This window comes from Homo sapiens, chromosome 3 (assembly GCF_000001405.40).
Source record: "Homo sapiens chromosome 3, GRCh38.p14 Primary Assembly".
NCBI classification, from domain to species: Eukaryota; Metazoa; Chordata; class Mammalia; order Primates; family Hominidae; genus Homo; species Homo sapiens.
Window position 1 is genome coordinate 168,467,128 of NC_000003.12, and position 24,921 is coordinate 168,492,048.

The 24,921-nt window shown below is 35.7% G+C and overlaps 2 pseudogenes across 1 annotated transcript in view, besides 1 other annotated feature; both read left to right on the top strand.

Annotated features, from left to right (window-relative positions):
- The window catches only part of EGFEM1P (EGF like and EMI domain containing 1, pseudogene), a 581,078-nt pseudogene that overhangs the window by 217,606 nt on the left and 338,551 nt on the right, over positions 1-24,921 (top strand). The gene's annotated exons all lie outside the window — the stretch shown is intronic.
- RNU2-20P (RNA, U2 small nuclear 20, pseudogene) lies at positions 8,071-8,261 on the top strand (annotated as a pseudogene).
- Positions 9,611-9,811: a silencer, noted in NCBI's record as "peak4911 fragment used in MPRA reporter construct". NCBI's record gives its function as "represses an SCP1 promoter by STARR-seq MPRAs in K562 erythroleukemia cells {active_cell/tissue: K562}" and the evidence as "EXISTENCE:reporter gene assay evidence [ECO:0000049][PMID:32103011]".

Below are 24,921 nucleotides of genomic sequence, written 5' to 3' on the forward strand. Positions count from 1 at the left end.
GATGTATATATGTATCAAATGTGACATTGTATATTTATATATATATGACAATTATATATTCAATGACAATTCAGTTACACATATAGAAACTAATCTTATGGCGTGAAAAGAAAAAGCAGAATGTAAAACTGAAAGTAAATACGACACATTTATACATGCATTCTCATATGCCATCAGCCTCACTTGCCTAGGTCTTTATAATGTGATTATATGTTATTTCTACACACCAGCCAACCTGCCAGAAGGGCCCTTAAAGGTCTCTGAGTTATCTTTAAGAGTTTCTCATAGGGCAGTCTACCCACGCTCTGTAACAGGTTCTTCTTTGGCCTTTGTTGTGGACATTGTGTCTTGACCTCACTGTTGATGGACCTTGTGAGTTCTCCAGTCTTCAGAGACTCGCTGCCATCTACTGGTTATTGTTACCAGTTCTGCTCCTCTAGTCTTGGAGTTGGGTCCCGACTCTCACCAATACCCACAACATAATCATTCCAGATTTTAATAAGGCCTGGGAATAGTAGAACTACAGCACAAATTTGTTTCTATCAATGGCGGCTCCTTGTATTTAAAGCCTAAATATTACCTCATATCTGCTTTCTCACGAGGTCCCCATATACTAAACTAGTTCAACTTCCAGAAACAGTTTCTAGAAAGGTTCATATCTAAAGTCTGAACCCAAATGTACTACAGTTACAGAGAGAGGAGGAAGACATTTATGTGCCTGAAGTCCAGCGCCCATGAATATCCTGATCCAGGATGCAGGATGGTGGAAACATTTATCTCCTGCATAGGATATTTTCTCTCATAAGGAAAATGCATGGATTCCCATAACCTCCATAATTATAATATTTATGCTACTCTTTGCAAAGCCTACATCATTCAGTTTTAAATATTTTACTGTGGATGCAGCCCCATCCAGGTTGTGATCCCCTGGATTATAAAGTTAAGGTTTGATTAGGGTGACATGTCCTTCTGCCATGAGTGAATTCTTAATTTTTTAGTGACCAAATGCTTATATGATAGCACAGCATGCACTGAAGAATAAAAATGAATTTTATCATAGGGTAATCCAAATGTGGATTTGAGGAACAAAATATTTTCTAACTCTGTAAATGACAATCCTACCAAAAGAGCCAATTTATAACACTGCAAAAAACCACTAACACCTCAATCTGAAGCAAGTTTTCCCAGTAAAAGTACCAGCCAAATGCCTGATTAACTAAAAGATTTGCAAAAGTGGCCCTTTGTAGAAGGAAAATTCCCTTAAGGGAAATTTCTAGACTCAAAAACTGCTTACCATCCCCAAAATGATGTTATTCAAAATGAAACAATTTAAATTGCTCTCTTCAATGGTCATATGTGAACAGTGATTATCACTGGGTGATGAGATTTGCTTTTTAAACAATTTTCTATGTTTTAAAAATTTTCTATATTGAATGTGTATTATTAAAAATAAAATAGTTTTAAGAAGTCTATATTGGAGCTTATTTACCGTAATATATTGTAAATGAGTAATATAGCTGTTTGCCAAACTAGCTTATTAGTGGCTTGAACACCACTGACTTGATAAAGTTTTATTTTAAATGAAAAATTCTCATTCTGAAGAAAACCTGATGCTTCTATTAGTCGCATGATGATTACATCTGTAAGGATTCCAGTCAGAATTTATAGCAGTCAATAAACAAGCTCAAAACTCCTAAAAAGTAACGGATGAGATTGAATCTCATTTTCCCCTACTTAAATTAGAACATTATTAACTCTGTGTTGTTTGGAACTTAGGAGAAGGTTCATTTTATTTTTGTTTTTTAGGTTGTTAAAATCCAAGTAGAGTTAACTATTGAACTACAAATTGTTTTTTAAGGAAAAGTAATGGGTAATTTTATGGCATGGGCTTTGAGTTCATCACAAATTTTCAACACTAATGAAATTATTATATCCTTATGTTATCATTTTTGGTAACTTTTTTATATTGGGTTTAAGTAACCATCTTGGCAATAATTTCTAAGCTAATTAATTATATATGCCAACAGAGTTCAGTTTGATTTAGTTGTATATTCAATTCCCTTTTTATTGTGGTGGAACTAGGAAATAAACTCTAATTCAATTTTAAGTACAAATAATTAAATGAATTGGGCTTATGAATGAAATCTTCTCATTGGCAATGCCAGGAGGTCAATTAACTAGTTTTACAGTATTTCTGTGAACGAAAATGCATCTCCAATCGTGTGATAAATATTCGCTGTATAGGACTGAAAACACTGTTGATTTTATTAATCTTTCAGTTAGTCTGGAGTAGATATTTTCATTAGATTTACAGAAACCACTATACATTTTTGAAAGTAACATTTCTTAATATGAATTTGATGTGGAAGACTATCATCTCTTTTACTCGACCAAAATAAAACTCTTTGGAGACACTTTATTTTTATTTCGTTTTACTAAAGCAATGTTTGTTTAGGTTATGTTGTGAAGTATATACAAACCATGTGGATTTTGATACTGAAATTCAGTTCAAATGTATATCTTCTATAAACATTAAAAGAGCTCTTTCATAAATGTCCTAAAAACAGTGATTAGAATCGTGCCTGAAACAGCATGATTCTCTGATTCATTTGAGTTGTTTTAAAACAACTCACATAACATTATTGCCTTTGGACTCTTTCTTCTTTTCATCAGTTGAAATGTGTACTTTTAAATCATTTCTTAATTTAACTTTCTCACTTTTTTTTCAGTATGTAACTTGTCCATCCTTTTGCTGACCTTTATAAGTGGTTCTCTTTGTTATAAGAACAAAGTAACAGTGCCCTCTTACTTGATAATTATCAGGAAACTACAAGATCAAAGAAGGAATAGTTAATTTTATGTCTTCTTCTTTCTCTAAATCTTCTATGCTCTTTGATGTCACTCCTTATTGATCAGGAAAGAAAGTCTATCTCAAGTAGGGGTACGGGTCAGCAAACACAACTTCTGAGCTCAAAGACATCATTTAAAATAAAAATAGAGATTATTTTGTTACTGACTAGGATAACTACATATGTTTATTTTTTCTGTCAAACACATAGCAATCAGGAAATATTGAAATTATTTTCATTAAACCTCACATAATTTTTGCAATACAGTATTGAACTTGCTTATATTAATTAGCTGAGTACAAGTCCATTTCTTACAAAATATATTAGGCCAAAGCCTATAACCCCTATCTCCATTTTATAATTATCTATGCTTAGATAGTGAGCAAGGACTGAATTCATTGTCTTATGTTTTTTTTAGGTGCATTCTTTTGCATTAGTTAGCTATTTGTTCTGCTGGATAATTTCTATTAATTAAAGTTGGTAATCCCAGAAAATGAAGCCCAGTACATTCATCTCGAGTCATTATCGCCTTCTCTAAGTTTTGGATAATAAGCTCATCTGCCTCTTTGAAATGTCTCATGACTCAGCTGTTCAGAGAGATTGTCCATCTAAAGCAGAATGCATGAGATAATGAGACTCCTTTTCCACGTCATGGTGAAAGAGAACATTCTTTGTTTGCTTAGAAATGCTATCTAGAGATGAAATTATGCCTCTAATATTTTATGACCTGCCAATTTTCATTCAGGGTTACTGTTTTTTTTTTCACGTTATAGTCTAAGATTTATTATTAAACAATGAAACAGGTTAACACTACCATTTGGCTTTAATGTTTGACTACCGAAAAGCTAACCATTCATCAAATTTGTTTTTTAATTGTGGTTCCCTGGGTCACTCACACATATACATCGAAACAATTTATTAGTGTAAAGATTAATTGTGGTAATTTTATTGTCTTGGGATTAGATGAAGAGACCTTCAAAAACTCCTTTTGATGAAACAAGTAATAAAATGTAGAAACAGCGAGTTCTGTGGTTCAATATTTATATGTCTGTGCTAGAAGCTTTACATAAATTTGAAAACTTTTTGTAGGTATTTGCAGAGTGAAAATATGCCAATACTTCAGGCACACTTATAAGCCCCTCTTGTCTTCAGTCTGGTTGGCTACGTCCAATAAAGTTTGATTTCTCCTGAAGGACCATTATGGTTTATTGGCTTAATGAAGCAAATTGGAAAAAGAATTTGTGCAGCACCTTTTCTGTGCTCTGGGTGCTTTATAAAATTGCAGAGTACGTTTCAGTTTTAAGCAATTCCCAATGATTAGTTTATTTCCAGTGTGGCAAAACAGGACCTGAGAAAATAACTATGAGTATCTTGCACACATGCACATGCACAGACACACACATGCATGCACACTAGTTCCAGCACCTTCTGTAGAACATGTTAACTGCCTCAAAGAGAGTATCCTCCAAGCAATAGTGAACAGAGTATTACTTTCTGTCTTTGTAAATTTTCCAGGATATCATGATCAACCTAATTGTGTGGCGAATGGTTTTGGAGTCTGCTGATTAACATTTTATTATACAGGAGATCTCTAAAAGAGAGATTTGTCTCTTATCATGCTGATTCTTTCTCAAAATGAAGATTTTCACAGGTAGACCATTAGTGCCAGACACCTAAGAATTCTACTTTTCTTTATTAAAAACAGTATATAAAACAAAATTTTAAAAGACTTCTTCATTTACAGAAGGAAGATAAGAAGAGAACAATGTACAGGCCTGTTTAGTGTTTAGATGGAGTAGAAGAGATGAATCTGGAAAATGTCTGAATGTCCTTTCAGCAAACATGAATTGGAGTAGAATTCTGTCTTTTTTTTTGAGATGGAGTTTCACTCTTGTCACCCAGGCTGGAGTGCAGTGGCGTGATCTTGGCTCACTTCAACTTCTGCCTCCTGGGTTCAAGCAATTCTGCCTCAGCCTCCTGAATAGCTGGGATTACAGGCACGCCACACTATGCCCAACTAAGGGTTTTTTGGTGGGTTTTTTTGTATTTTTAGTAGAGACGGGGTTTCACCATGTTGGCCAGGCTGGTCCCAAGCTCCTGACCTCAGGTGATTCGCCCGCCTCAGCCTCCTGAAGTGCTGGGATTGTAAGTGTGAGCCACTGCTCCTGGCCTGGCCTCTCTTTTTTTAACAGACAAGGTCTTGCTCTGTTGCCCACGCTGGAGTAGCTGTGGCAAGATCATAGCTCATTGTAGCCTTTAACTCCTAGGCTTAAGCAATACTGCTGCCTCAGCTTCCCAAGCAGCTCTGACTACAGGTACACACCACCACACCCAACTAATTTATTTAATTTAATTTTTTTTTTTTTTTTTGAAATAAGGGGTCTTGCTATGTTGCTCAGGCTGGTCACAAACTTCTGGGCTCAAGTGATTCTCCTGTCTCAGCCTCCTAAAGTGCTGGGATTACAGGCGTGAGCCCCTGTGCCTGGCCTGTCCTCTCTTATTGATGGTTATGGTTTAAAAATACTGATTCTTATGTTCTCATTTGTAGCTAAAATAATACATTTAAAAGGATACTTTATTCCAATATTTTATAAATTTCCTTTTATAGGGTAGATTAAATAATTATAATCTGGTACTATTTAAGAGCCTCATATGTTCACTATTCCCTGAAAAAGTGAATAAAGTCTCTAAGTCTACTTATGAAGTTTATGGAAACACTTAACTTGAATTATGTGGCTAGGAACAAAATTAGAAGTGTATTGTTAAAAGATAATTTAAAAATAAAATTACAGTACATGCAAATATAAAATGGACATATGCCCAAGATTTTGACTCATTAATTAATGAGATAACCAGTAAGATGTTACAATTAATTCAGATGAATTTAAAGATATATATGAGCAATAAGGAAAGCTGAAATGAATGTACAAATACATGCAAAACTGCTGTGTCCACAAGGCAATAAAGAATTGCATTCCTCAGGACTCAGTCCATTAGCATTTCTACAGAGAGGAGTAATTTGCATTATTATCAGTTTTCTACAATTTACAGGGTTATAAAATAGCTCAAAGACAATGGAAGGCAGAGGTAACCAAGAAAGGCATACTAGACAGTACATCCAGCAGTGCTTTTGCATTTCTCAAAGCATTTCCCAATTTTTCCTGATAGTATTAATGCTGTTCACATTACTATCTTGCCACAAGCTTGTTCTTTAAGCAAAAGCCAGAAGATTTTTTTTATTATTTTTTATGAGTAAATATCTGAGAAAAATAATTTAGTTAAACCGCAACTAATAATTTAGGCCACCTATTAAAAACTATGATTCCAAGATGAATTGAATATGCTTTCTGTCATCTGAGACCATTTCTTTTATTTCAAGCAACAATGTCTGGTATGATATGTGCTATAAGTAATTTATAAAGTATTGAGTGAGTGTGGCAGAAATTTTGTCTTGAGAAGATTAGAGAGGGTGGCTTTTAGTGATGTTAAACATTTTACTTCATTGCACATGAACAAAGACCTTTTCTTACCATTCACATCTGATTCTCCTCATGCCTAACAGTTGGAACTGAAGATAAACTTTCCTCTCTGTGAGAGAAAACTGATTGAGTGTGCTGTGCTTCATCTTAATCATATGCATGAACTTTTCTTTTTGTTTTTGAGACAAGGTCTCATTTTGTCATCCAGGGTTGAGTACAATGGCATGATCATGGCTCATGCAGCTTTGACCTCCCAGGCTCAATCGATCTTCCTGCCTCAGCCTTCAGAGTAGCTGGGACTACAGGCATGTGCCATCATGCCTGGCCAATTTTTGCATTTTTTTGTAGAGATGGGGTTTTGCCATATTGTTCATGCTGGTCTCGAACTCCTGGGCTCAAGCCATCCGCCCACCTCGGCCTCCCAGAGTGCTGGGATTATGGGCACGAGCCACTGTGCCTGGTCCATATACATGAACTTTTAACAGAAAATTTAAGAGACCCTAAGTGGAGAATATACTAATTCAAAATATCATGTTCTAGAGATGTAGAAAAAAACTATAACTGAAAAATGAATGAAAAAAATATTTAAATTTTAGGGGTAGAAGGTGGAAAGCCCAATTTGAAGAAAGCGATGTGCAAACCTGGGATCAGACAAGTGCAAGAGAAGACATTGAGTGTATCCTGAATTAGTTTAGCAAAATTAAAAGTTATTTAAAATAGATTTTAGGATGTTACTGTAATTATTGATTTCATAAGAATATATTATATTTGTCTTGCTCTACAGAGTTTTACCTTGCATGTTAATATCAAAATTTATTATAGCAAACTTTGTTCATAACATTTTATTGAAACAAGGTTTGAAAGTTTCTTTGTTCATTTTCCTGAGCTCAAGGACCTACAAGGTAGGACATATAATAAATGAATCCTGTCCTACTTATCACTAGGGATAGTTGTTTCCTCAAGATATGTTCTTAGTAATAATAATTACAATTAAAAGAATCTCTGCCCTATTAAGTGTGCTTCTGAGGGACACTTTTTTATTTTAAAGCATAAAGCATTGTCCTATTCAGCAGAAGCCAAATCTAATACAGGTTGGTAAAATGTCCTGTATGCAGTTGTTTGGGATCTCTTTGTGTAGCATGTAATAAATTACCAAAATGGAATAAAGATAGCTGAGAAATTAATACTAGCTTTTGCTAAACTAGGGACAAACTTTAAAATGATGAATTATATATACTAATTAATTGGTACCCTTGCTTTTTAAAAATTCTGCAGTTGTAATCTATTGATTATTGGCTAAGTGTTATATAGAGATTAAGTCTTATTTCTCATCCTGCTATTTCCTACCTTTGCAACTTTCTTCTTGATGGAAAAGGGGCATCACTCCTAAATGAGATTTTTTAAAAATATTGAATCTTCAAATTTAAAGAGTAGAGCACAGGATTAAAGTGGAGAATTTTCGTAATCAGAGCTTTATTGAAAAGTTTAGTGTGTATAGGCATTGTAGATGTGTCTGTGGAATTTATGGACTCAGTTAAAAATTGTCACCTGATAAAAATGAAGTTAACTGTCTATTCAAATGATGAGATTTGCATCTACAGATATATTACTACCTAAAAGCCGAGGTTGCATATATTGCCGATGGACTCCTAGAATGAGTCAGGCATCTTTTAAATCTCAGTAAAATGATTGTTATCTTCCAGATACTATCTAAAATATCACCAATATAAGATTCCTCATCAATCACTTCTCAACCTTTTGACTAAGATCAAGTGTAATATCTATCTTTATCAGTTTAATATCTGAGATCTCCTTTATCTGAGGACAATATATTTAATGGATTTTTGGAACAGAGAGAAGGAATAGGAGCTTGTCCTGTCCACTCCATGCATTGACCTGGTATTGCAGGACCTCCAGAAACACCACCCCCTCCCCTCCCACACACATAAATTCTCACCAATCTTGAGGGAATGTTAAAATAAGATGTGCTTTGATTGGCTGATATTAAGGCATATTAGAAATGAAAGAACTGTAAAGAAGTAATTTATCTTCAAATTGGGAAGGCACTTCTATCTAGTGGATCTAAACGGCAACTAGAAAATTATATTCTGTAGCATAAAACTAACTTAATACTTGATATTAGACTCAGGAGACATGCATTGGGTACCGTGTTGCCTCTTGTTAATCATCTGTCTTTGGAAACATTGCTGAACTCTGTTCTCTTTCCTCATCTTTGAAATTAGGTTAATCACATGACAGGATAGTTGTGAGTAATAAATTAAATAACATCACCTATCCTAATGCCTGACACACAATAAATGCTTAATAAGTATTTATTGGCATTGCCTCTTGCTAGAGTCTGGTTGGAATGATACATGAAACAACTGAGTTCCTTTGCCATGATACTTTAATACACATTCTTATCTGTTTCACCACAGTAGAGGAGTGCCACTTCATATCATAGGGGAACAGATACTTGTGTCAGCAGTTGCTAGATAACACTAGAAAGTCTGGGTGAAATAGTAAAAAATACAGAGATGAATAGTTTAAGAAAAGCTTCTTAACTGATTCTGGTATAATTCCCTTTAATTAAATAATTGGCTTAACATAATTACCATCTTTTCTGAAGTATATTGATGACGAGAAGGTGGCCTGTGAATGAAATGCACAATTTTTTGACTCCAGAATTATTAAAGTATAAATTGCTAAACTATAATTGTGGATTATAAACTGATCACTGATCATCTTCAGATGAGTGATTAAAGATTCAAACCTGTAGATCTGAACACCCACAGCATCAAGGTGAAGTTGCGGGGGAACTGATTATTCTCTCATACTTCTTTATCTACATTTCTGTCCAGAAATGGACTGTACTCTTCCCTTGTAAATCCTCGCTGTCTAATCAAGCAGCCATTTCAAGCCAGAGACAGTCTTGGGCACACTACACAGTTTTGACGACTAAGTGACAACCTATCAGTGGAACAAGAAGCCTTTTCTTGAAGGCTACTTACTGGTTTCGAGCATAAAAAGGGAAAAGTTCAATGAGAGAGAACGAACTCCTAACTATGTTGTTCTTCTTGGGTGCATTGTATATGCTGAAAAGTTAATGCTGTTTTTAAAGTTAATTCATGATAATTGAACCGAAGTGCTCTGAAAGTGCTGTTAGAGTCTATTTATGAACCCAGTGCCCTCTTTGTCAATTCAGTAAAAGCACCGTTCAGTAAAAGAAAGGAGAGAGAGATGGCTGCATGGTGTGCACTTAGCCATATGTGCGTCCTTTCCCCGTAAAGTATCTGTTTTTCTAAGTGCTTTTTTTTCTTTTAATCTGTCTACCTCATTGAGTCAGCGGGGCTGCTAGTCCCATTATCACTCCACTTTGAGGACTGGGAAGGGCTGATAAATGTATTTTGGTCGTGATTTACCACAAATCACTTTTGTTGCTCTGAGGTGTAGGTCACTGTTGCAAGTATAGGTCAGCAAGAGGAGAGCACGTGGGACAAGTGAATTAAATAAATAAACTACCGTTTGGATGATCACACTGACAAATATTTTTAAACAAATATAATAGACAGTCTTTGTTAGCGTGTGGAATATATTAATCGTTTCCATGAGTGCTGTTGGGAGTGTGTCTTTCATATGAAGCATCAGCAATTCCATTTTATAATGGCAAAAAGTTGGTAACACCTTTATCTTCAACAATAGCCGGTTAATAGAAATTGAATTATGCTTTATTAAAATGAGAAAATACTAAGACACTTAAATGGTGATGTAAAATAATATTTAATTACATGGAAAATGGTCTCTGATAAATTAAGTGGAAAAGGAGAATACAAGATCATATTATATATTTTGTTCTAAAAAAGTATTTATCTATATGGAAGAAGGATTACCAGGATATGCATATGATATTAACAGTAATTTTTTGGTGATGAGATTTTAAATTTTTCTTATCTTTTTTGTTCTCTCTCTTTTTTTTTTTTTTTTTACTAAACATGAACTATAAGATATTGTAATAAAGTTTTAAGAAAATTGTTAAATAATTTTTTAAAAAGAGTATGTGCATGTCAAAGAAATCATGCTTGTGAATAAAAAGAAATTAGAAAGTATAAAAGGCTTATTTCAGTATTTCTAATTAATTACCCAACTATACTATATTGTTCCTAAGAATTGAACCTTTTGGAATCCTCTGAAAGTAAAACCATATTAAAGAAAGAAACATGGAGTAACCATGAGCATGTAGTTTGAAAAAGATACAGAAATCTCAGCTATGGGTAAAGGCTTAAAAAAAAATTGAATCCATGATGGCCTCTCATTCTGAAAATGACATCAGGCAGTATTTATTTGAAGCTAATAAATGAGAGTGTATTATTGTATGTAAAACTGTGTTTTAAATTGTTTGTAATATAAAATGTTTATAATATAAAATATTTCATGTACCAACAGAAAATCGCAGAAACAAATGCAACATTAGCTTGTGGGAGGAATTTGAAAGGTCCAGATGCTAGAATTGGCTGAGGCTCTTTGCAGCACCATCCATATAAAAGTGGATAGTCTGAGGGGTTTACACTAGTGATAATGGAAGGAACATGGAGTCAGAATGGCTTTCTATATACCTGTTGGCTTGTGTGATTTCTTTGGGCCTTGGTTTTTTAATCTTCAGATGGGAGAAAATAATACATACATATCAAAGTTGTTAAATAAAAAGCATATTTAAAGTGACTAGGAAAATGCTTGCCAAATAGCAGTGATTCAGTGAATATTAGTTCTGTACTTGAATTTGGAGTCTCCCTTGGTGACTCAAATTTAATTACTAAAAAGGCTAATGGCTTCAAAAGTAGCCATTTAAGAAAGTGAATTCACAGCAGGGAGAAAAACTCACAGAACTCCATGAACAGGTCTTGGGATATTTTATTCAATTTAAAACCAAAGGTCTATGAAACAGTGAGTTTTCAAATTTCTATCATTTGTTTGGGTTCATATTTGACTTGGTAAGTTCACCAGTGCGGATTCCTTTAGCTAAAGAACAAGTTGGATTTTCATCATAGAAACTTCATATTGAGTAGATTAACTTGATTGGCAGCCATTCTAAGGGAGAGATTCAGAAACAGAATAACAAGTCTGTGGCAATTTAAGACTAAACTACTGAATGAGGAAATTAGGATGGAATTTCGTCATGATGACATCTATTAGGCTTCCATAATCGTTATCTCAAGAAAAAAAAATCATACATCTTTTCAAGAGAATAATTGTTGTAGAGGAAAGGAAGTGCTAAAACAGTTTTATGAAATTACATTCTGAGGTGTTGTACAAAATAGTACTCTTTCTGAAATGTAATTTGCCTTTAAACTGTTCAGAAGAGTCTGAATGGTGATTGTTGCCTGAGTTTTTATCCAAAAGTTCAGTGATGGAGCAGCATCTGGGCTTAGTCCTATCTCTAGTGGCACATCCTGAGTGACTAAGACATAGATGTGAAAGCCTTTTCTGGGGTTACAGGGATCCAGTGGTTTCATTCAGCTTACAAAAGCAGAATCCTATTGGTTTCCAGTCTTACTTCTTTGAGTCTGTTTTGTTTTTAAATCATTGCAGCCTGCTGGGCGCGGTGGCTTACACCTGTAATCCGAGCACTTTGGGAGGCCAAGGCGGGAGGATCACCTATCAGGAGTTCGAGAGCAGCCTGGGCAACATGAGGAAACCTCATCTCTACTAAAAATACAAAAAATAGCTGGGCGTGATTCCAGCTACTTGGGGGGCTGAGGCAGGAGAATCACTTGAGCCCGGGAGGCACAGGTTGCAGTAAGCCGAGATCGTGCCATTGTGCTACAGCCTGGGCAACAAGAGCAAAATTCGGTCTCAAAAAAGAAAAAAAAAATCATTGCAGCCGAAATGTCCTTTTACCTGTTTCTAAGTCACAATAATTCTGAAATGATCATTTCACTAGCTACAACAGAAATATTCTCCAAAGCTTTCAAGCTAAAACAAAGCAGTTCTGTGATTGTAAAAAAAAAAAAAAAAGCTTTAAACATCTGAATTTGGTCAGGGAAAAGAGCACTCTGTAGTATCTTTTCAAGCTTGTAAGGCACATATAAATGAACGGTATTGGACATATGGAATTGTTCATTTTACGCAATACTTACTATCAGATGTTCTTAAATAACAGGATGAAGAACACATGCTTAATTAGCTCAATTGTCTATGGATAACTGTGTTGACGATCAACTTTTCTTTCAGTTTCCAGTTTAGGATGCCATATAATGCTTGTACATTCTGCATTAATAAAATTATCTAGCACCACTAACATCCTGCCACAGTGCATCGAAATATTTCTACTCAGCAACACTATTATCACTTAAAGCTGCAGGCAGACCTTAAACTACGATTTTGTAGGCTATATTTTGTGGACATTATATTCTACAATTTTATTCAATCATGAACACATTTTCTCAATGCTTTTATTTGATGAAACATAGCATTTAATATTATACATAATAGCGTTAGTAATTCTTATGGTCATCTAGTTATTGAATGACTGTTTTAGGTGTCATGAAGTCAAATGCTTATGATGTCAAAAGTAGGAAGAGTGATAACTGTTTTGAAGTAGAAAATGTGCGCCTACCACTCAGCTCCCAAGGATGCTGTGCAGCAACAGGGGCCTAATGCGTGCATGCATATTTGTTTCCCATTGCTGCTATGATAAATTTCCACAACTTTGATGGCTACACAAAACAAAACACCAGTTTATTATCTCATAGTTCTCAAAAGTGAGAAGTGTGAAATGGGTCTCAGTGAGCTGAAGCCAAGGTGTTGGCAGGGCCACATTCTTCCTGGAGGCTCTGAGGGAAAATCATTTCCTTACCTTGTACATCTTCTAGAGGCTGTCCACATTCCTTGGCTCTTGTACCCCTCCATCTTCTAAGTCAAACATGGTGTGTGAAGTCTTTGACCCTGCATCACCTGACACTGATTCTTCTGCCTCCCCCTTCCACATGTAAAGGACCCTTGTGCTATTACATTGGGCCTACCTGAGTAATCCAGGATAACCTTGTTATTTTAAAGTCAGTTTATTAACAACCTTAATTTCTCTTTGCCATGTGTGTTAGCATTTTCTAAAGACACAGAACCAATAGGATCTGTATAAATCTATATCAGAAGAGATTTATTATAGGAATTCTCTTACTTGGTTATGGAGGCTGAGAGATTCTCTTGTTTGCAAGCTGGAGAACCAGTAAAGCCAGGGGTGTTATTCAGTCCAAATATGGAAGCCTCAGAATCAGGAGCTGATGGTGTAAATCCTGTCCCAAGTCTGAAAGCCCAAGAGGCAGGAGCACTGGTGCTCAAGGGAAAGAGAGAATGGATGTCCCAGCTCAAAAAAAGAGAGTGAATATGCCTTTTCCACTTTTTTTGTTCTACTCAGGCCCTCAGTTTGTTAAATGATGCCCATCCACATTGGTGAAGGCGATCTTCTTTATTTAGGCCACTGATTAACTTACTATCTTCCAGGAGTACCCTCACAGACATACCTAGAAATAATGTTTTACCAGCTATCTAAGTATCCCTTATCCCAGTCAAGTTGACACATACAATTTACCATAACACCATGTAACATACCATATTCACAGGTCCTAAAGAGTAGGATGTGGACATTTTAAGCATTTAAGGCAATTATTCTGCCTATCACAGAATGCATTTCTATTTTTTGGAGAAGCTAGGATACCATATTTTAGGTGAAATCTCTGGATATTTAAATGTTTATGAGATACGTAGCATCTCAGTGGATCTGTTTTGGCCCATAGGCTGCCTGTTTATAGCCACTGGTATACTGCATGCCTGACTCTATGCAGAGTGTTTGTGTCTTCTCACTCATGGTTTTTAAATCTAATTGAGGAAGTAAACATTTAAAAATATCCATAAAACAATATTTTAACAACACAGTATAAGAAACATGATAGGGGGCTTTGGGAATGATCCTTGTAGGGTGAAGCAAGACAGGTCCTAAAAAATATGATGGATTTGGATGAGCAAAATGGAATTTAAAAGACATGTAAAAGATGTGGTAGTTGGGTGAAACAAGACTCTCAGCAAAGATGGGAAAGACCCTTGAGACATCAAAAGTCTGGCCTTGCTGGGTTAAGAGGAATGAAATTGAGGATCATTTATCTGATAAAATGAACCAAGTAATGTACAGTTTTCTATGCTTTCTTTAGAGTTTGGCTTTATTTCGCGAAGCAATAATTTTTTGTGGTAAGTTCTTGAGCCAGAGAAATAGTTGAATATAAGATAAGAATGTTTTTTAAAGAATTATCACAACAGAGATGAAAGCACAAAGGCCAGAAAGATGACTGTTTTGTTCTCCAGGTGTGCAATAATGAGAAAACTAGACTAGGGTTCTCAAGGTGGGTTGAAAAAAATCTGAAAAGACATTTCAAAGAAAGAATCAGCCAGACATGGTGAGTGACTGGCTGTGAGGAGTTAATGAGAAAAAAATAAATAATAAAAGTTCAGATATGGGTCTAGGAGCACAGAGGAATCATTGGTTGAGGTTTATAGATTTGGGTGATTAATGTCATTGAATTAAATTCATTTTTTTTTCCAAGAGAAAAGTATTTGAGGCCAAGAACCAAGCTTAATTTATCTTAAATAAAGAGATGCCTACATTAGATCAATGGGAAAAAGGTAAGGGAATAAAAGGGGAAGGAAGAGTGGAAATACCTTAACACAGCGTTCCAACACCCAAAAGAAGGGGAAGTTTTAGGGTGGAAAAAGAAGGATTCTGTGATAACAAATACATGTTTTTGCAGTGTGAAAATTGCTTGACTGATATGGAAATAGAGAAGGATAAAGAAAAATTGTTAAAAAGAGTTTGTATTGGAATTTGAGGCAGAAGTGAAATGTTATTTAAGGGAAAAAGATGAATTTCATGATTTTGCAAGCTTGAAATCCTTAAAAGATAGAAATAAAGGCCAGTAGAATGATGAAAAGCAATGTTCCTGAAGATAGAGTGGAGTAGACTTCTTTGAAGGGTCTATCAGGTCACAGTTTCATCAATGAGATGTGCTCATTTTACTCAGTTGAGCCAGTGAACCTCTTTTCTGCTTTATGACAATACTCTATTGACTACAGCAGATACTGACTGGCAGAATCTCTTTCCTAGAAATTTCTTATTGGGCCTGAGAAGTTTATTTATTTCTGTGGGTGACATAAAATGTAGCCGTATGTACTCAGGCTCTGAATGCACTGTGTGTATGCCCATCACAGCAATTAGAATAGCGGAAAAAAGAAAAAGCAAGAGGGGCATAAAGAAATCAGGGACTGACGGACAGGAAAGGACAGAGAGAGGCAGATATTGCCCACATTCCTGCTGGCTTTCCTGTTTCTGCTCTGAGCTTCTTCTAAGGTTTCTCCCTTCTACTAGATTTCTATCATTATCCCATCATCTTCCCTGTACATCTTCTTTGATTAAACAAGGTTGAAGTGATTCTCTTATTTTTAATCAAAAGAGTAATAAATAAGACACTAGGAAAAGTTAAATCCAGAACACTGGCTGACATTTCGAGGGCACCTCTTCCTCAAGTAAGAAGGCAGTGGAGAGGATTGGCACAATGAATGATCTGGAAAACCAGAAAACCCAAAGTGGTACTTTGGAAGGCTCGTGTTCTTCACCCTATGATTAGTGCAAGCCTCAGTGTAGAGAATGCCACTTCTGAGAATCTCTCCTTAAACCACTACTCTGGCTGAAGTGCCCTTTCGATATGTTACTTCTAACATATTGCTGTGGATATTCCTATCACAGCACTTATTATACTATGTTTAAATTGTTGGTGAACTTATTTGGAGCAGACTCTAGACTTTAAGCTGTATAGAGTCAGGGATTATATATATTTGTTGAAATAATAATTCATATCTTCCCAGTGGAGACCAATACTTGTTCATTTTGCACAGTGCAAGCAAAGCCTCATTAAGTTAACACAGCTCTTCCCTGAAAAGTTTAGAGTAGAAATTTAGAGTTGATCCTTGCAATGTCATAAGAACATGCCTAAAGATTGTAAATATGTTGTTTAATCTGTTAGTTCAATGATGAAATGTTTAAAGATGTATTTAGGGATTTTGGGAAGTTGATGATTATGAAAAATAATTACTTTCAAAAGCTATCTAAAATGTTACTACATGATCATGTTAGGGTTCTAGATCTAAGTATAAATATGGAAGGCAAGGAAAAAGATGGAAGTTTCCTAATGAGTTATGATTGCTTTGGCAGAAATATTTTTAATAAGGAGTATAATGTACAGTTAGGGGAAAGTATGATAATAAAATCAAGGGAAGGAAAATAGCCATCCTATAAAATAGGTTGGGCACTTGACTAGTCTACACTAGTAGTTTCTAGATCAAGAAGTTTTTCCAAGCGGGTCTCCAAGCCCATTGGTACAACAAGAGATATTCACTTCTTTTAATGGTCTCAAAGAAATAAGCATGTAGTTCTTCACAATAAGGCCGGAGGCTTTTGATAGTAAGAAGAATATGTAATAGTGATGTTACTATGGACATAGTTCAAGTCTACTATGACTTTTTTTGGATTAAACTGTAAAAGAAATGGCAAACTTAAACATTTTTCCAAGGCTTGTCCATGCACTAGGCACTATGCTACAGGCCTTAGACAAATTTGCCATCTCATTAGAAGTAATTTTAGGAGAATTAAGCGTTTGAAAATAATTTTGAAGATGTAAAGTTTTTGATCCTTAAAATAAGAACACATTTATTCATTTGTACTCATATCATGCTTTATCTTTAACCTACACAGAAAAGCAGCCAACGTGTAACAGGGAGGCCACCATGTCATTCAGGTCAATGTTGACAGGTGTCAGATTCTCAGTCCTTCTTGGTCTTCCTGCACACACTTGAGCTATCTCAATCAATTCTTTCTCCTCATTGAAACCCATTCCATCATCTTCTGAACATATTGATCTTCAGTCATGCACATACTCATCATACTCTTCATGGTGTTTCTGCCTGCAGGCCTCTCCTTCTCATTATTTCTATATTGGTGACTCTGTCCTCACAGCTGATACCAATCATGCTTCTTACAAGTACATTTCAAAGGCATGGATTCTCTAGTGTTTCACTCACAGGAAAATAACACTGGTTTCTCTCCTTTGTGCCTGCAGTATAGATTCACTTAGCTGATTTAATTTGACTGTTAGTCAAAATTAAAAAAAAAACTTTTATAAAATTTCATGCATTTTCAACCCCTCCCCACATTCCCTTTTCACATTATACACAAGTGGAAAGAGAAGAGTTTCATATAAAGAACACACAGAACAATTGTACCACATAAAAAAGAAAGAATCAATATTAATCATGACCTGCAGTCATACTACCTTTGGCTATGATCATCTCTGAGCTCCAGAGAGGGGCTCAGCTGGCTGCATTTTTTAAAGGAGGACCCTGTGGGAGAGCCAAGAGGTGATCAGAAACACTTCTGGGGATTCTGCTTGTGACACTTCATGCTGGCAGTTCTGCAACACAGGCTTTCTTGAGAGATTATGTATGCTTACTGGATTGCTAGTAGAAATTCTCACAAGATTGTTCCTAGTCTATTGTGATCAGGGTAGATTGATTCTGCCTCACCTATTGGATAGATTCTTTAAAACATTGGGTCTAACTAGATTCAAGAAAAAATAATAGCAACAACAACAGTTAAACCTGATTGAAATGTTATGATGCAGCTGCTATGCAGCCTGCTTCATCTCATTAAATCCTCAAAAATGTAAATTAGCTTCTGTCCACATATTACAGGTGAGGAAGTTGTGGCTTAGAAAATTAAGAATCATACTTCATCAATTTTGAGATGCACATTTTTCACATTTTAACATCTTTGAAATTGGACTGCTTCTTAATATTGATGTGTCTCATGAAGATAACTGGCAGTTTTGTTTGATTTTTCTGAGTGACAGAAAAAATATTAGTGTATCTTAAATTCAATGATGGTTTAGGTTTTACAAAATATGGTATCTTGTCCAAGGTCATCCAATTAGCATGTGGCAGAACTGACTGGAAATCCCATGCTATGTTATCAAATGTTACACCTCCAAGAAAGGGAAACTAGAGACTAGTTGGAGGTGCCCCAGCTCATTAGAGGTAATATGTTCTTGAAGTGTTGACAATCTTTCCACTGGATGAGATGGCACTGATAAAAGATTTCTAAAGAACTTTCCTATTCTGGCCCCACTTTTTAGGGAGAGCAATTATGCAGGCTACAGGGAGCTATCTCAGTGGCTAGAGGGAGAGAATAACCTTGAAAATTTCTTTCAGTTTTCAGTCCTCATTCTCATATTTGATATGAAGATAAACAGAGGAACTTTGAGCCTCTTTGCATTCTTTCTTTTTACAATCTTGTGTTCTCTGAATTTTTTCTTCACTGTCTTCTATAGTCCTTAGCAGTCCTTGAATATACAGGTTATCCTCCCAGGATTTATAAGCTAATTAATCAATGACAAGTGCAGCCATCTCTTTGCTTAGGGACAGATTTCTGTTGCGTATTAGGAAATGTGTCCCAGAAGGCATTTATCTGTCTTTACTTGCCATTCATATTGAGGAGTGAGAATGAGAAAACCAATAAATGTTTTTTCCTCTTCTGTTTCGTCATCCTTTGTATGGTTTCTCATGTTTCACTGCCTCTTGTTTTAGTAGCACCTCAGAATGCCTGCCAGTCTGTTTTTGAGACAGTTTATTGGCTGTGATACTAAGAAACATACAACTTATGTTTCTTAACTTTTTTCCTGCTGTATTTGCCTTTCCAAATTAATACCACAAATGACAACTATTTAAAAAGTGGGAACTTGTCAAGAGAGCTGAGGAAAAAATAATGTAATCCAGACTTCTGTGATATAATGTTAATGAAATATTTTGGTATGCTGAAACCTCAATTTAATGTTGTCTTGGTAAGTGAAACTGTCTTGTAATGAGTATCTTTAAGTCACAAAAACTTTGGAAATGTTTCCAAAGATAATAAAAGTTCCATAACACCAAACTTCATCTTGGGACAAAATGTATATATAATTCCAAATACTTAATACTCTTTCTTCCAAGGATGAATCTCACTTCAGTTATGACCTCAAAGTTCTTTTTGCCCTTTGATAAAGGTAAATGCTAATCTTGGGAATCTTCCTATATATAACAGGGTGATTTGTCACAACATGGACAGTCTTAAGACCAGAAATTAGATACCAAATTCTATTACTCTTGTAACAGCTTTTTTAATCACAAGAAATTTTTCTATGATTTTTGAATTGTTTTAGATTTATTGTTTGCCTGGGATTTTTTTTTATCCTGGCTGCAAAAAGAAAAAGGTCAGATTTCCATTTAAAAGGAGTTTGTAAGTTTCCAAACAACAGAAGTTATTTCTTTATCCATTTTTCTCCTACCCGATTTGTACTTTCTCATCACTTGTTTGCCATCCAGTTAATGTACATCCAGTTTTGTTTTCTCACCTCTGTTGAGAAACGTGACTGAGCGATTAGTCCAATTTTATGCTATTATCTAACGCATCACACATATGTAATTGAAACAAAATGCTGTTGCATATAGACTTGTCTGAGTAGGTGCTTCAGTATTTTCTCACAAAGAGTTGGTATAAGCCTCTTTCCTCCAGAAACAAAGATCACTAGGCTCATCTATGTAATTTGTAAAACTAAGTGAAAAAAAGTGTAAGCCTACACTTGAAGGTGAGAAAGTCAGTCTCCTCTTCCCATAGTTAATGGACAGGTGATTTCCAAGGGATTGCCAGCTAGGGCACTAGACATCTGGATTCGGGGTGGACAAGAGTTGACTGCTGGCTGCATCATGGAACTGCCAGGCCACCTGACTGTGATGCATGCCTGATCAGCCTTCCTGTACCCACATCCAGGTCCTCCTTCTTCACCAGACCTAGACGCTGCCACCCTGTGTCTAGGGTAGTGGGCTGGAGGTGAGGCTGAGAGGAAGAAGGAAGAATTCGTCTATGGGAGGTGCTACAAATTGTGTGCCAGAACTCCAAGCTTCTGTTGCATGCATACTCCATTGGCCCCTTGGACTTTACTTACAAAGCACAAACTCAATTTCAAGATTACCACAGAGGAGAATATTAAGCCCATTTGCCACTGCACTGGTTGCAAGCCCACAAAGCCATCCCTAAAGATAACCACTATTTCTGTTGTGAACCACATATTTCAAGTACAGTATTATTTGCCTAATGTTTCAAATAGTTATTTATGAACATTTCTGCCCACTAGATTATAATCTATGGAGCAGTGTGATAAAATGAGTGATATCTTTCTTGGAATTTCTGTTATATTTTTGTAGCTGCTGCACTGCAAATAATAGGCTTATTAATTGGACAAGCACAGAAAACAAAAATATGTGACTCAAGGAATATTACTTAAACCAGATTTTCTAGTTTATTTAAATCAAGAATGGTATACTTACATGTACCATTTGCAAATATCTGCTTGAATGTTAAGTTGCTTTTCAGGTTTGACGGCACAGAAAGAGTGTAAGGAAGCTGATTATTGTCATCTGAGAGTGGTCCTGTGCTAATTGAGTGCTTTTCAACCCTCACTGCAGGTTGCAGTCACAATCATTTTGGAATTATTTTATAAACATTATGCATGGGCCCCTCACTCAGAGATTCTGATTTAATTGACAAGTAGATGAGGGCCTGGTCACTAATGCTTTTCAAAAGCTCATAGGAGAAAGGTGTATGAGGGGAGGGGTTGAAGCGTGTGTCAGTTTGGGTAGTCAGCTGGAGTGTCTATGCATGGCCTTTCCATGGGGCTTGGCCTTCTCAGAGCCTGGCAGTTGGGTTTTGAGAGAGTCTCCCAAGAGCAAATATTGCAAGAGACCCAGGTAGAAGCTGTGAGGCTTCCTGTGACCTAGCCTTAGAAATTCCAAAACATTCCTTCTGTCACATTCTATTTGTCAAGCAAGTCACTAAGGCCAAGCCAGATACATCAAGAGAGAAATTAAGTTCCACTTCTTGTTGGTGGAGTGTCGGGATCATATTAGAGAAAAGAGTGTGGGATGTAAAATATTGTTGCAGTTAGCTTTGAAAAATACAATCTGCCATGAAGTGTTATAGCCCTTTAAAGTCATTTTAGGCAGAACTACAATATTAAGGGGAAAAAAGTCAAGGAAATAGCTCAAGATGGGGTTTGTTCTCATTATGTTTGAATTCACTAGCTAGGCTTTTAAGAGTTACCAGCTTGTGATTTCTAACTCTGATTGTAAAAAGTCTATTCATTTTTAAATTTTTTTGTGATGGTAAAGTTACATTGCTGAGTTATAAAAAATGAAAGCAATGCTAAATTAAATAGCAAAATCTCTTTATGCTACTATATTTTCCTTCCCAGCTCTACTTCAATAAAGGTAATATATAAAATCTAGGATTTGGAAGAATAGTCAATTTAACTCCCTAACTTTATGTTTGTGTATTCAAAAATATGGAACACTGAAAAGCCTAAATTTTATCAAATCTTACCTTGGCTTGACCTCTTGGTAATTACTGCATCAATTAGGGTATTCATTAATTCTTTGTTGAACTTGATTCGTTACAGCCACCAGGTTTATTTAGCAACAGGTATTCACCCACACTTGCCTGGCTTCATGTCTTTCCTGGGCATGGTATTGTTCTGGAACTTTACAGAGGAAGACACATTTAGGTTCAGTCTTTAGAATCGCAGTGGTATTGTTTTGATGCTACAAATGTTTATTCAAAGTTAGAGAACAGTAACATAAAGTTTTCTCATTCAGCATATGTATAATATCTATTGAGCAACCTAAACTTATTTAGGCAACCTAAAATGAGTGTACAGTACATATAATATGCAGATATTTTATGTGACTCTAAGGAGTATTCATCTTTGGTGAGAGCACACTCAGCAGTATTAAATGAGGGATACAGAAGCATCTGTGCCTTCATTTTATCATACAGAAATTTACACTTATCTCATATTTTCTTTCCAAGAACTATGAGCTATAATTAGTAGTGGAATCCTTGGCATAGATCACTAGGCCAGTCTTGAAGTATAAGTTGGCACATTCATTTCAGTGGCAGAGATTCAGCCATAAGGAAGAATCATGAAATTATGTGTACTTGAAAGCAGTCAGAGTTACTGATGCAGTGTAGAGGTGTTAATCTCTTACTATTCTGAACATTTTTTTTTCTAAGAGGTTCTCCTCATACATTGCCACATGATCTTAATATTTTTATTTGCCTTTTTAAAAAGAAATAATCATCAGTACTCCTCAGTTTCCCTTCATCTTGACATCTCTTTGACTTTTATAAATGCAAGGATGAACACCTTCCTACTCCCCACTTTTCAGTGTGCTCCTAAGTGAAGGACCACCTCCTTCAATACTACTCAGTACTCACAGAAAAGTAGGTCCTTAGACCTACTCTACAACTATAGAATCAGTAAAATGCTGACAAATCTGCATTTCAACAAGTTTCCCAGGTGATTCTCGCAAGAAATTTTGAGACTCGCTGCCCTAGTGTCTTGCTACCTTACATGCAGTCTTAGGACCAGTAGAGGGGACATCCTTTGGGAGCTTATTAGAAACGCAGAATCTCAGGCCCCATCTCACACCTACTGGATCAGAACCTGTATTTTAACAAAATGCCCCAGTGATTGGTATGCACTTAATGTATGAGACATGCTGATGTGGAGAGAAAGTTAAGTCCAGATTCCTAAGCATGTCAAATGTGGCTCAACATGTTTACTTCCTGTGTGTCCAGCTCCTCCTTCTGCCCCCACATGGGGGACATTCTACCTGAACCATTCACCCTATGAAGATAAGCCTTTTAAAATTGCAGATATGCTACCAATTTTGAGCTACAAAATAGAAATTTCCTATGGCTCAACATAAATGTGTGCAGTTCCTTTTATTAAGGGTTACTATTTCATGGTTCCTTTTATTTATTTATTTTTTATTTATTTATTTTTTTGAGACAGAGTCTCGCTCTGTCGCCCAGGCTGGAGTGCAGTGGTGTGATCTCGGCTCACTGCAAGCTCCGACTCCCGGGTTCATGCCATTCTCCTGCCTCAGCCTCCCGAGTAGCTGGGACTACAGGCGCCCGCCACCACGCCCGGCTAATTTTTTGTATTTTTAGTAGAGACGGGGTTTCATCGTGTTAGCCAGGATGGTCTCAATCTCCTGACTTTATGATCCGCCTGCCTCGGCCTCCCAAAGTGCTGAGACTACAGGTGTGAGCCACCGTGCCCGGCCATATTTCACATTTTCCTATTTTAACTGTATTCTCTGACTCAACAAATCTACTACTAATGATGGAAGCTTTTATTATGATTTCCCTTATAATAATACCAAAACAGAATAAAAATATATTTTCTAAATTTTAATATAAATAAAAGTGATATATAAGCACACTTGCATCATGCAAATTTTATGTTCCTACATTGCAGCTAATTATGGTCTTAGTTAACAAAATTATGTCTTTAAGGGAAATGTCCATGTTTCTGAGGTTTGAAGCCTATGGTATATTCTTTTTATGAAATGGCAGCTCTTCTTAAGATGATGATAGGCATCCCTACATTTACTAATTTTGTAACTTTATTGTGTTGCTGCCTCTACTGATAAAGGAGAGGGTTGGCAGGTCACCCCTGATTTTATTCCAGAAGAAATAGGAAACTAGAGAACAGCTTTACATCTCAAGTTTTTCTGCTGCGATATAACTATGACAAAGACCACAGCTTGGATAGGTTTCAGTTTGGCTAGAGAATGCATACTTCACATATGCTCTTTGACTTTGGCAATGTTATCTCTCAGGATTTTCCTTTTGGATGGCAGGTTTTTTTTCAGATGAATATATTCTTCATGAAAATGAGATCTTAATAAATCTTTAACTCCAATACTGCAAAATCACACATATACTATATTTATGAAAAAAAACTGTGAGAAGTTTTCACTGTATACCAAATACTAACAGATAAATTTATCCAAATTGCCTGGCCAGAGAATATCTGAACAATTCAGATTATCCACTTCAATAAATAAAAACTTTTATTATTTTTTCTGCTTATGAAAGTAATGTTTGTTTCTTATACACACTATAAATCCATCAGTGATATAGGGGAAAGTTCAAGCTCATAGTAATAATCATTGTAAATATTTTATCATATATTCTTTCAGATTTATTTTTCTGCAAATACTGTGTTATATATGTTATGATCTATATAAAGCATGAACAACTAGTACTAATGCACTGGAGGGAATCTACATATTTCCAGAATAGAGCTACAAAGCAGTTTTGATCAATGGTCATGCTATATATTGGCCGTAACATGCTCCTGAAGGGAAGGGAATGTACTGTTTTTCTCTTTGTGTTTTGCATGCATATAACTGTTATAAGTGTTTTACTAATATATACTATGAGCAGTAAAATATTAGAAATCAATGTAGTATTAAATGAAATGCTTACCCCAGTGTTTCATTTAATTCTGTTATCTTTGTCTGAAACATTAAGAAGTTTTAATGTTTATCCTTTTTCATGAACAAATGATTTGTATACTTTTTGAAAAATTATTAGTTATTTTTCTTACTGATTTGAG